This window comes from Homo sapiens, chromosome 8, assembly GCF_000001405.40.
Source record: "Homo sapiens chromosome 8, GRCh38.p14 Primary Assembly".
NCBI classification, from domain to species: domain Eukaryota; kingdom Metazoa; phylum Chordata; class Mammalia; order Primates; family Hominidae; genus Homo; species Homo sapiens.
In genome coordinates this window covers 34,779,303-34,793,592 of record NC_000008.11, presented here as the reverse complement: position 1 = coordinate 34,793,592, position 14,290 = coordinate 34,779,303, and the positions used below count along the sequence as shown (strand labels likewise).

General features: G+C 40.1%; 1 long non-coding RNA gene across 1 annotated transcript in view; it reads right to left on the bottom strand.

Moving 5' to 3' along the window:
• LINC01288 (long intergenic non-protein coding RNA 1288) overlaps window positions 1-9,672 on the bottom strand; it is an 80,878-nt gene extending 71,206 nt beyond the window's left edge. Inside the window, exons 1-2 of the long non-coding RNA NR_125746.1 lie at window positions 9,497-9,672; window positions 628-835 (exon numbers count right to left, since the gene is read on the bottom strand). This is a non-coding gene — a long non-coding RNA (long intergenic non-protein coding RNA 1288). The remainder of the gene's footprint in view (window positions 1-627; window positions 836-9,496) is intronic.
• Window positions 9,673-14,290: the final 4,618 nt, after the last annotated feature.

Below are 14,290 nucleotides of genomic sequence, written 5' to 3'. Positions count from 1 at the left end.
CTCACGCCTGTAATCCCAGCACTTTGGGAGGCCGAGGCAGGAGGATCATCTGAGGTCAGAAGTTTGAGACCAGCCTGGTCAACATAGTGAAACCCCGTCTACAAAATTAGCCAGGCATGGTGGCATGTGCCTGTAATCCCAGCTACTCGGGAGGCTGAAGCAGGAGAATCGCTTGAACCTGGGAGGGGGATGTTGAAGTGAGCTGAGATTGCACCACTGCACTTCAGCCTGGGTGACACAGCAAGACTCCATCTCAAAAATAAATAAATAAATAAAACCAATTAATCCCTTCTTGCAACAGGATGGCCCCAGAAGAAGGCATAACTGTTTGATAGTAATTGATTAGTGAGTATTCTCCTAGTAAGGCATTGCCAGTGTCCTTGCTATTTTTAGGTGCTAAATATCAATTTAGTATACTGCTCTCTAGGATGAGAGGGTCAGCAGAATGCTGGGCTCAGGAGCTGATTCAGCTGCTATTGGATATGAGCATTGGGTAGAAAGGACAGCAAATCTTGGCTGCTGATAGTAAGGTAGCTACTGCTGAGTCTTCCCTCAAAACAAATGGCATGTTAGGCAGAGCATCCTGTTATGAGTCTGATAACCTGAATCTCTGCCTGAGTTACTGACCTGGGGCTGTAGTGTGACACCTGTCATTTCTCTCTCTCCTTCTATGTTTGCTCATGCAGAAGATGAATTGGTTGCACTCAGTGATGTCTAAAAATTCCTTTCAGCTCCTTCTCCTTTGTCATAATGTTTCAAGTTCCATCATTAAACATTGATTTCTTCTAGTTTCTAAGGCTTTTAGGTTTTCAAGGATTGCCATTAAAATGCGAACCTGAGGGGAGAAATAACATATTAGAGTGTTTTTAGACCATATATTTGAGGAGCTTTTGAATGATCTCTTAAGGGGCAGGCCATTTGGGAATAAGGCATGGGTGATCTGCCAGGACAAAGGGGGCTAGGAGGATCAGGGAGGGACACAAATGGGGTGACAGAGGAGACAACAGACATAAAGAATAACTAAATGCTAGTTTCTTTTACATATATTTTATCAATTCCTGCAGAAAACCTGGGATTTAGTTATTACCATACCCATATTTCATATGAAAAACTGAACTTCAAAGACCGAACATGACACATGTACAGTTATTTGGAGAAGCAGAGATAGCATGGGAACCCAGGTTGTAGGATGCCAGGGTCTATGCCCATATTCTTCCCACTGCAGCCAGCTACTTTTTGCTTATTGCTGTTTACAATGTTACCTAGAGTGAGTTCTGCAGAAATAAAGTACTTCACCTAGATTATCACATTCAGTCCTCACCAGTGGATACCATTATTTTTTTCCAGCTTTCCAGAGGAAGACCCTGAAGTTTAAAAGTTTAATAGTCTGAATAACAACACATAGCTCATATCTCAGGGACAGATATAATAGGTATATACATATACATGGAAAAAATGTTTTGGAACTTTTGACAAAGGCCTTAGCTCACACTGTCTTGAATCACTACTGCTGAAAAAAAAAAAAAAAAAAACACCTTTTCTTTCCCTCTATCTCTTTGGCTTTTCTATCATATTCTCATTTCTAATTATCTAAAGTTTTAAGAAATCAATCCCCTTCCCCATCTTTATTTTTTATCAGAAAACTATTTCCTGTGGGCCTCTTTCAATTCAAACTGCCTCAGTCTTGGATCTGAAAGTCAGGTTATACAATCTGGTTTATTGTTTTTAATCAATTCAAAATTTTAAGAGGCATTTTTTCAGGTGTCAGATGTCATAATTAATTTCCACAAATACTTGTTGTTGAATAACTAAGCCATTTCTGTAGTCAAATTTTATAAAGTTTGTCTTCTTTCAATATTACTAGATGACATTGCACAAATTATGTCATTTCTCTAAGACCAATTTTCTGTAACTATAAAAGAAAGGAGTTGTACCAGATCATCTGTAAGAGGGCTTGCAGCTCTCAAATGGTGTGCTTCTTACCATGCCAAAGCCTTTACTAATTTATTTGAAAAACATTGAGAGCATAGAGTGTGCCAAGTACTATATAAGACATTGTAAATATGATCATTAGGTAGCCCTGTGTCAAGGAGGTGAGAATCTGCTGCAGAGCTCACTGTAGTAGAATTACAACATTGATTTATGTTTGCGTGCTGCTTACATACATTTAACACACCTTTTCTATGTAGTTTGCCTTGTGTCTCACACTATCCACCCCATAACAACATGCATTTCTATTCTTCTTGCTTACCACCATCAATGGGTCCATTCTCAATCTGCCCAGATTTCAGGCTTCCCCAGCTTTCTCTTCCATACATAAAAATCATAGATAGAGGTAGAGTTAATAACAAATTGAGTAGATGCCTGATTTCCTTATAGGGCTTAAAGGGATTTTCCGCTTGTAGATCTCTCTCTCTCTCTCTCTCTCTCTCTCTCTCTCTCTCTATCTATCATCTATCTATATATCAGGCTGAAGTGCAATGGTACAATCATAGCTCACTGCAGCCTTGATTTCCTGGGCTCAAGTGATCCTCCCACCTCAATCATACCTAGGACTACAGGTACACACCACCACACCTGGCTAATTTTTAAAATTTTTTGTAGAGATGGGGGTCTCTCTATGTTACCCAAACTAATCTCAAACTCCTAGGCTTAAGCAATCCTCCAGTGGCCTCTCAAAGTGCTGGGATTACAGGCATGAGCCACGGCACCCAACTGAATTTTATTTATTATTTTTATAGTGTTTAAAGAAGAATAGAGGTTTTAGGCAGGGAGGAGACAAGCTAGGGAAAAGTAATAGGCAATGGACATAGTGATGAAAGGGATGTTTTGGTGTGAAGGATATACCCACTAAAGGTCTTCAGCCTACCCCAGTTTTTTCATGGCCTATCACACTTTTGAGCTGTTTTAGTCTGAGTCATAACAGTTGTCAGCTAGTTTAGAAATCTATTAATGTCTTGGTGTTTGTACAGTTTGTTATTCCTTCATGGACCATTTCTCCACTTAGCTTCCTGGACGCATACTCTCCTGACTCTTCTCTCTCCTTCTTTGTTCCTTAGCAGCCTCCTTTGCTAGGTTCTCCTTCTATTCTTTGAGAGTCTCATGGCTTAGAATTTGCCGATAATCCTAAATTCACTTCCAACCAACACCCTTCCTAAACTTCATATTCATATACCAAACTACCAACTTAACATCACTAGCTGGGTGCTTAAAAGGCATCTCAAATTAATATATCAAAAACTCAGCCTCTGATGTCCCTGCATACTCATCCTTCACTAGTCTTTCCTGTATTGGTTATGATCTCTTCATTCTAATTACTTGGGCCCAAAAATCTGGATTTCATCCTTGCTTCTTTATTTTTCCACTTTACTTAGCACACCAAATCTATCAGTAAATCTTGTTGTCTCCACCTTCAAATTATATCCTGGAAATAATATACTCCTACCTCCATCTCTACCACCCTAATCCAAACCATCCACATTTGTACCATAGACCAAAGCAATAGTCTTCTAAGTACTTTGTCTGTCAGAAGCTATTTTTCTCATTACAGCCACAGCAATCTTTTTAAAATCTATTTTTTTTTTTTTTTTTTTTTTGAGACAGAGTCTCATTCTATCACCCAGGCTGGAGTGCAGTGGTGCAATCTTGGCTCACTGCAACTTCCACCTTCCAGGTTCATGCGATTCTCCTGCTTCAGCCTTCTGAGTAGCTGAGATTACAGGCACACACCACCACACCTGGCTAATTTTTGCATTTTTAGTAGAGATGGGATTTCTTCATGTTGGCCAGGCTGTTCTAGAACTCCTGTCCTCAAGTGATCTTTTTGCCTCAGCCTCTCAAAGTGCTGGGATTACAGGCATGAGCCACTGCTCTTGGCCTAAAAATTTAACATTTAATAGACTGTGAAACCTCTTACTTGAAATCCAACATTTTCCCAATATATGAACTCCCTACCATAGCCTTCAAGGCAGTGCATAATCTTGCCCCTATACACCTTTTCTATCTCATCTCATGATTCTTCCTGGCTTGCTTCACCGACATTACAGGTCCTTTTACTGTTCTTCCTGGTATACATCATCCCATTGTGATTCTGTATGACAACTTGGCCAGGCTATAGTTTTCACACATTTACTCAAACAACATTTCAGGTGTTGTTGTGAAGGTATTTTGTAGATGTGATTAACATCTACAATCAGTTGGGTTTAAGTAAGGGGTATTAGCCTTGATAATCTGTGTGGGCCTCATTCAATCAGATGAAACACTTTAAGGGCAGAGCTGAGGTTTCTGTAAGAAGAGGAAATTCTACTTGTAAACTGCAGTCAGCTCCCACCAAAGAGTTTCCTGATGGTCTTTCTTACAGATTCCAGACTCACCTACCCAGCCCTAATGCAAGCCAATTCCTTGGAATAAATCAATCTCTCTCTCTCTCTCTATATATATATATACACACACATATATATATACACACACATGTATATATACACTATATATACACACACACGTATATATACACTATATATATACACACACACGTATATATACACTATATATATACACACATATGTATATATACACTATATATACACACATATGTATATATACACTATATATACACACATATGTATATATACACTATATATACACACATATGTATATATACACTATATATACACACACATATATACACATATATACACACATATATACACATATATACACACATGTATACACATATATATACACACACAAATATATATACACATATATATAAACTAATAATCAGAGTGCTATGAGAAACAGAGCAAAATTATACATAGGTTTTATGTGTAATTATATATACATAAAACCTATGTAAAATATTATTCTATTTACATATTGCACTCTCTCTCTATATATATATACATATGTACAATGGTGCAAGCCAATTCCTTGCAAGAAATCAATCTCTCTCTCTCTCTCTCTGTGTCTCTCTCTCTCTATATATATAAACTAGTAATCAGAGTGCTATGAGAAACAGAGCAATATTATACATAGGTTTTATGTATAATTATATATATACATAACCTATGTAAAATATTCTATTTACATATTGTGCTCTCTCTCTCTCTCTCTATATATATATATGTACAATGGTGTAAGCCAATTCCTTACAAGAAATCAATCTCTATCTATTCACATTTCATACACACACACATATATGTGTGTGTGTGTCCCTGCATACTCACCCTTCACTAGTCTTTCCCATAGTGGTTATGATCTCTTCATATATATATGTATATATATATATATATATATATATATACACACACACACACATATATATATACACATGTGTGTGTGTATTAAATGTGAATGATAGAGCAATTGATTTCTTTCAAGGAATTGGCTTGCACCATTGTATATATATATATATATAGAGAGAGAGAGAGAGAGAGAGAGAGCACGTGCAATATGTAAATAGAACACTATTATACATAGGTTTTATATATATTATTATACATAAAACCTATTTATAATATTGCTCTGTTTCTCATAGCACTCTGATGCACCCATACACCTCATTCTTCTCTCACAGCTTTTCCTTTTGCTGTTCCCTATTCCTGGAATGCTTTCTTCCAAATATTTGCATAGCTCATGCTCTTACATGATTCAAGTCTTTGAGCAGTTGGCCCCTCCTCAGAAGGGCCTTCTTTAATCTCCTTGTTAAAAGTGACCCAAGTGACTCCATATCAGTCATATTTTCTTGCCCTCACTGCTTTATTTCATAACATTTACCCCTATCTGAAACTATGCACTTGGTCATTGTCTCTCCTTTTCCCCATGTCTAAGCTCCATGATGGGGTGCGTTTCATCTGTCTTGTTCACTGCTGTATCCCCAACCTCTAGATCAGTGCCAAGTACAGGAATGCATAGCATATCTTTTGTTGAATAGTGAGGAAATGAGACACTGTATTGATTTATTGGAGTTCAGAGGGTGGTCCTCAGAGGGAGAAAATAGCTGAAAAAGCAGAATGAAAACTATAAAAAGCTTTTTTACATCGGCTAAGTTCTCAATCTTAGCATTCCTTCTTTCTAAAAATAATTTTAAAAAACATCCAGACTTATTATCTGCACTTCTCTTTCTCATGTCATTCTATACCTGCCAATTTTCTTTTATTTATCAAAAATTTACTTAGAGCCTAGTATGTGCTAGGAATGATTAGACAAGCCAAAAACAACCAATCAGAAGGGAGAATTTCTCAAAGGAAGGCCTTGTAAGCTAAGATGTGATAAAGCCTACTAAGCAAAGAGTAGAGGGAAATGAACAGGGTAGAGAAAAGTGTGTGCGTAGTGGCCTGGAAACGAGAAAGAACATACTGTCTGAGGAAGTAAAAGAAGATCAGGTTGGCCGGGTGCAGTGGCTCATGGCTGTAACCCCCCAGCACTTTGGGAGGCCAAGGCGGGCGGATCACGAGGTCAGGAGTTCGAGACCAGCCTGGCCAACATGGTGAAACCCCATGTCTACTAAATATATAAAAATTAGCCGGGCGTGGTGGCACACGCCTGTAATCCCAGCTACTCAGGAGGCTGAGGTAGGAGAATTGCTTGAACTCAGGAGGTGGAGGTTGCAGTGAGCTGAGATCACGCCACTGCACTCCTGCCTGGGCGACAGAGAAAGACTCTGTCTCGGGGCTGGAGAAAAAAAAAATGAAGAAGATCAGGTTGACTACAGTTTTTGAGAGAATGTATGTGGGTGCATTAAGAGGATAGATGAATCTGGAGAGGTGTTAGAGCATGAAGCTCCTTTCAGCTTAGTTATGAGTTTTTAATTTTGTCTGTTAAAGACGAGAGGATAACAGCAGCACTAAGTAAGAGACTAATATGTCAGCTTTGTGATTCAGTAAGACACTTTCAATACAAGGGCAGAAAGACCAGTGTCACATGGAGTTTTTGCATGTATTGTTGCTTCTCCTTAAACCTCTGAAACTTACTGGTTTAGCTGAAAACTTTGTTCCATGCTTTCTAACCTCAGGTAAATGAAAACAAACAACAGCACAACATATCTACCAACAACCAACAGAAATAAAGATAGAAGACTGATTTCATCCAGCTAGATTCAACATCTCCAAAATTTATCCTGGACGGAGATAGAGTAGCATATTTATGTATGAAATGTGAATAGGGTTTGGAATTAGAATACTTCAGACCTAGCTCTGTCTTGTGTTGGCAGAATTCCTTAACTTTCTGAAGTCTCCTACAGCTCATGTATTAAATGAAGCTACCGAGAATACTTTATTCACAGGAAAATTGTGTGAATTAATGTATGGTGAGTTACCTGTGAAATACAAAACTCCAGTTAAATGAGTTACAGTCGTCTTTGCCTCATGAGTTCACAAGGTATTTGACATCAAATAACCAGCTTATCATTAGAAGTTATTGCTGTGGGATGGGTGGAGTGGATTTAATGTGATCACACATGGAATCTTGTAGCACTCTGAAGATGGAGGGTCCATGCAGGAAGAGTGCTACCTGCCAAAAGAGGATAAAATACCACTCATCACCTCAGGAGGCATTGATTATGTTGATCCTACAGACAGAATGTTACTGTCATAGGGAACACAAAAAAGACACTGCTTATTCACGTTATGGGGGAGAGGGATACAACACTCCATGGCCATTTCCAGTATTTTGGGGGTTATATTAAAGAAACTAACTCCTTTCATTCAAATCAACTGAAAAAAGGCTTGGAACTTAAGAAATTCATCTTGAGCCAATGCATAAAAACTCACTGGGAGAGACCTTGATTCAAGAAACTGACTCACTGGTACAGAGGTCAGCAAATTATCCCAAGGACTAAAAACCAAACACCACATGTTCTCACTCATATGTGGGAATTGATCAATGAGAATACTTGGACACATGAAGGGGAACATCATACACTGGGGCCTGTCATGGGGTGGCCGGATGGGGAGGCAAAGCATTAGGAGATATACCTAATGTAAATGACGAGTTAATGGGTGCAGCACACCAACATGGCGCATGTATACATATGTAACAAACCTGCACGTTGTGCACATGTACCCTAGAACTTAAAGTATAATAAAAAAAAAAAAAAGAAAGGCCGACAGACGAGAATTCAGACTATGCTTCCCTTTGTAACCCTAATTGAGTGGCTAAGAGGTTTCCTGGTAACAAGGATCTGTAGAGTGACTTAAAACAAACAAAATTTTTAAAAGATCAGGATTATATTTACTTTTTATTATTCTTTCTAGATACCATTTTTGAATGTGAGATTATTAACCAAAAAAGATCAACTTTATGCAATCATACAGTAAAGAATCCCTCCAGAAAGAGGAGCTAGAGACACATTGCGGCTTAAGAAAATATGTATTTTTAAGAAGGTGGCAGTATACATATGGAAAAATGAACCAAGCTGCACATTTAAGATTTGTATACTTGACATCACTTGAGAATAATGTGAAAACAAGATCACTCTCTCTAGGAATTAAATATGTAGCTAGTTTGGCTTGTTAGAACATACCTATTACAGTCAAGATTCTGGCGCTCAGGTAAGTTAAACCAAGTAAAATAGTTCTCGCCTCCGGCCGGGGCACGGTGGCTCACGCCTGGAATCTCAGCACTTTGGGAGGCCGAGACGGGCGGATCACGAGGTCAGCAGATCGAGACCATCCTGGCTAACGCCGTGAAACCCCGTCTCTACTAAAAATACAAAAAATTAGCCGGCGTGGTGGCGGGCGCCTGTAGTCCCAGCTACGCCAGAGGCTGAGGCAGGAGAAAGGCGCGAACCCGGGAGGCGGAGCTTGCAGTGAGCCGAGATCGCGCCACTGCGCTCCAGCCTGGGCTACAGAGCGAGACTCCGCCTCAAAAAAAAAAAAAAAAAAAAAAAAAAAGGCCGGGCGCGGTGGCTCATGCTTGTAATCCCAGCACTTTGGGAGGCCAAGGCGGGTGGATCACGAGGTCAGGAGATGGAGAGCATGGTGAAACCCCGTCTCTACTAAAAATACAAAAAATTAGCCGGGCGTGGTGGAGGGCGCCTGTAGTCCCAGCTACTCGGAGAGGCTGAGGTAGGAGAATGGCGTGAACCCGGGAGGCGGAGCTTGCAGTGACCCGAGATTGCGCCACTGCACTCCAGCCTGGGCGACAGAGCGAGACTCCGTCTCAAAAAACAACAACAACAACAAAAAAAATAGTTCTCGCCTCCAACACCCATGTCAGCGTTACAGGGTTCCTGCTGTAGAAGCCTATTTCTGTTTGCATGTGCAACATATTATTCCATAAACATGAGAAAAAGCCCTGATATAGCCACAAGAGTAATTTCTTTCCATCTGGCCCTGCCGAGGCTTTCAGCATTTATAAAGAGCTGAAAGCAGTCTGTTTTAGCATCTCATAAAGCCCCCTCCTTTAACCAAGGGCCAGCTTTCTACTTCTTTGATGATCATGGCTCTTATTAGAGAATGCACACTTGTGTTTGTGGCTAAGTTGCTACTATACACACCTTCAAATGCCAGAAAGCACAGGCAGTCTCTTGGATCCTTGCGTCTTGGTGCAAAGTCCTTCACACTCTGTTGGTAGGTGGCCCTCCCTCCTAGAAATTCTTTCTCTCTCTTCAGCTCTGCTGAGGCTTGCTCAAGGCCAGGGCATTGAGTGGTGTGTGCTAATGACATATTGGATGTAGTGTGAAGACAAGAGGGACGAATGGCAAAGATTAACTAAGTTCCAAAATACTAACTTTAATTGCTTTTGCCTGTTGAAATAGAGTTATGTAGAAGGACAGCTAGGACAGAAATATACAAAGCATTATGTGTTACTGAGACCATCCCAGAGGCTGCTAATAGTGTAATCCTTCATGATTTGAATTATCTTTGATTCTTCTATAAACTCTTCAAATTATAACTTTACGTTGCTTAAGTGTTTCTTGGAGTTTTATCATGATAACGGCTAGCATTTATACTCTACCTGTAACACCGATAGGTCTGTGGGTAGTTCCAGAATGGTACATAAATTCTAATACATAAACTAATTATAGAAAACCCCTCTGTTTCAATCAGATCTAGAGAAGGAATAAAAATGTACAGTAAATGTGCCAAATTTAATACGCTTGGCAAGAGAAGGCATAAATATGATATAATATCAATACTCATAATAGAGTGCTTGAAAAAAATGTAATGCCCCTTCCTATGGATGTTAATGGACTTTTCAGGAATTACCTGGTGGCAGATGCAGAAGTCACTGCAGAGGAAACACATGAGGTTTAGCTGAGTTCAGATGTAAGGTTCTGAGCTTCTTTCTGCCAAGCAGGCACTAAGTGATCTTGAAGCAGTGAATTTTGACTGACACGGGGGCTTTTCTTAGCCTTGCTGTTGGCTAGACAACTGAATTTAAAAATGTCACCAGCCCCCTAATTCTCGGTGTCCTTAACTCTGAAATGGATTCAATAATCGCTGTTGTTAAAGGTGGTATGAAAATTACACAGGTGGTCAATAATCAGTAGTTTTATCTTTTCTCTGCTTCCTAACGTTTATGCCAAGCCCATTGTATCCTGAAAACACTTCTCTTACTGTACCCTTCACACGTTCTTCTAATTGATTGTTTATGTATTTGTCTTTGTATTATATTTTGAGCTCCTTGAGGTTGAGGGCTTTTTTCTGTGCATGTTTGCATCCTTGTAGGCCAGTGCAGTGACTGTCACATAGTAAGTAATATAAAAATGGTGAACCAAGGAAATTATTTAATGCCTAAATTTTATTAAATGAGTTACTCATTCAGTTAATTAGTCATATTTTTCAGAGGCAAAGGAATTAAAATAATAGGATACTTAAGCCACTGTGATTTAGTAAAAGAATTGATGGGAATATAAGGTTGATTAGAAAGCTGTCCCCATGGAAGCTGAACTAGCCGGGCCCGAGGGAGAACTGGAGCACTCTGAAGAGCACCACACAGCTCTGATGACCAGTCATTCTGTCATTCTCTCAGGAGACCCTGCTCCTCCTGATTCTGGACATAAAAGGAACTTGGAGAGTCCTGATATAGTTTGGACATTCATACTTGCCCAAATCTCATGTCGAAATGTAATCCCCAGTGTTGGAGGTGGGGCCTGGTGGGAGCTGTTTGGGTCACAGGGGTGGATCCCTCATGCCTGGGCAATGTCCTTGTGGTAGTGAGTGAGTTCTCTCCAGATCTGGTTGTTAAAAGTGTATGGCACCCCCACTCCCTCACTCTCTCTTGTTTCTGCTATGTGATGTGCTTGCCCTGCTTCACCTACAGCCATGAGTAAAAGCTCCCTTGGGCTTCATTAGAAGCCAAGCAGATGCCAACACCATGCTTCCCATAAAGCCTGCAGAAATGTGAGCCTGCTAAACCTCTTTATAAATTACCCCATCTCAAATAGTTCTTTGTAGCAATGCAAGAGTGGCTTAATACAGTCTCATTCAGAATGGGAGATCATCTGATGCTGGGACCCAGTTATTATCAGGATCCACTCATTCCTGGGCTGAGCCTGTCCTCACCTGTGCTAATGGTTTCAAAAGCACAATGTATCACATATGACATATAGAGCTATGGGTTTCCATTTACCTCATCTCAGGGTAGCCTCTAACAAATTCCATGATATATGGGTGTTATTTCACCACTTTTCTGCATGGAAAACAGGCCCAGGGATATTCAGTCCATTTACTAAGCTCACATAGACAGTAAGTTAGAGGGCTATAATTTAAATCCAAGTGTGGCAGACGCCAAAGCCCATGTCCATGCTTTCCTCAATATTTTGTTGCTGCCTCAGGATAAAGCCTAATAGACACAGTTTATGAAAGGCAATATTTTTATAGAACAAAATACCTCTAAAATGGGTATAAAACCTCATTTACCAAGTAAATAAATGCCACTTTGTTTTTACATCACATACCACACTCTGCTGGGGCTAAGGAACTTTATGGCGATTGCTACAACTCAAGGGGCGGTCTAGGGACAAGGGCATGAGTCATATCCTTTCTTAGATTCCAAATTTGTCCAGAATTTCAGTCATTGTGCTTTCACAATGGGAACATGACTCAAGATGTGAAAGGCAAAATGGCAGGTTAGATGGGAGGCAGATCATGTAGAACCCTCTGAGTATGGCTATAGTGTGTCCATCTAGATACAGAAAAGGGAGGACCATGGGTAGCTTGGTCATTGATGATAAACAGCCTAATGGTCTCACCAGCCTCTTCACCCACCCACATGTATAAGGAGTTATGTTCTCTCAAGTCACTGATTCTCAAGCAGGGAGACCTCATTGTGGCTGCCTTGAATCTGTAAGGAGCATGGAACTTTTTAACATAGTTTATTTCCTGAATATTGAGGGTACACCCAAGCTCATGTTTGGTTCTGAAATCCAGGGCCTCATTAGAATGCACAGTATACTTCAGAATAGCTGAAGACTAAAGTGAGACCTCGGAGAAGGGCTGAAAATTCCCCTTGAGAATCGTGGTTTGAGATATTTCTGGGACTGTTCTTTCTCTCTTTCCTGGTGGAGCATGAATTGGGGTGAAGGTTTTCACTTCTCAGATTAAAGCTATCCCTTTTAGAGAATCCCAAGAAAAGGATAAACGGTCTAGACTCTCACATCCTGATAGACTAACCTATCCTAAAGAATGTTTCCATCATTCTCAGTAAACTATCGCAAGAACAAAAAACCAAACACCGCATATTCTCACTCATAGGTGGGAATTGAACAATGAGATCACATGGACACAGGAAGGGGAATATCACACTCTGGGGACTGTGGTGGGGTGGGGGGAGGGGGGAGGGATAGCATTGGGAGATATACCTAATGCTAGATGACGAGTTAGTGGGTGCAGCGCACCAGCATGGCACATGTATACATATGTAACTAACCTGCCCAATGTGCACATGTACCCTAAAACTTAAAGTATAAAAAAAAAAAAAGTTAAAATAAATGAAGTTTAAAAAAAAAAAGCACTGCTTTGTTTATACACATACATGTACTCACACGTAACAGACAGATTAAAACCTGAATAAAATCAATCCATCCCCAGTAAAAAAAAAAAAAAAAAAAAAAAAAAAAAAAGAATGTTTCTGCTTCTTCCCGCCTGAGACCAAAAGGTAGGGTCATTTGTTTCTGCTTCTTCCCGCCTGAGACCAAAAGGTAGGGTCATTTCATTTTAATTTTGAAGGAAGGGCTTGTTTGGTGTTCAAACTTGGCAATGGAACTAACAATCATTTCATATCAAATGTGTCTACCTACTGTTGTTCAAAGCAGTCCTGAAGTGAAAAGAATTACCTCATTCCTTTCCTTTTTTTCTTAGATGCTAAGCCTTTAAGTTTTCATCCTTTTTTTTTTTTTTTCTTAAGACAAGGTCTGGCTCTGTTACCCAGGCTGGAGTGCAGTGGGTCACTGCAGCCTCCTTCCAGGCTCAAGTGATCCTCCTACCTCAGCCTCTCAACTATATATGCATATATTCTGTGTTTATAGCAACTTTGCAAATATTATGCAGATTTCAAAGTCGTGGAAACTGAAGTTCAGACAGTTTTTTGGTTTGCCCAGGTCCATGAAGTAGGTAGTTGAGAGTTGTTGTTGTTGTTGCTCCCTCATACCAAATATGTGATATCTTTTCCAACTTCAACAACCAGTTTTCCAATTATCTGACACCAACTAGGTATGTAACAATTCAATTCAATTCTGACACTATTTGGAGTAAGCCCAAACCCCACAACTTAAGCGCCAAATCCCAGAAGACTTTCCTACCTCAGGCATTAGCTGCAAATGAGGTGCGCAGGACACCTACATTTCTCCCCAGCTGACTACAAATTGAGTTCCCATGACCCCTCTCAGGTTTGTTAATTCCCGGAACAAATCACAGAACATAGCAAAGTACTTTACTTACTGTTACTGGTTTATTATGGAGGCACACAGATCTTCCGTGCCCTAACTGGATGTGCTACAGTTTTAACACCACAATGTGTTCACAAATGCAGCTCTCTGGATGCCATTACACCTTTTTTTTTTTCTTTTGAGACAAGGGATCACTCACTCTGCTGCCCGGGCTGGAGTGTAGGTGCGTGATTATAGCCTCAACGGCCTGGGCTCAAGCGATCCTCCCATCTTAGCCTCCCTAGTATCTGGGACTACAGACATGTGCCACCACTCCTAGCTAATTTTTGTAGTTTTTGTAGAGATAGGGTTTTAGATCCAAGGTGGATCTAAAACTTCCAACCTACTCATAAATGCTTGGTCTCTCTGGCAACCGTCCCCAACCTCGAAGCTATCTAGGGATCCCCATTTCCTGCCTCT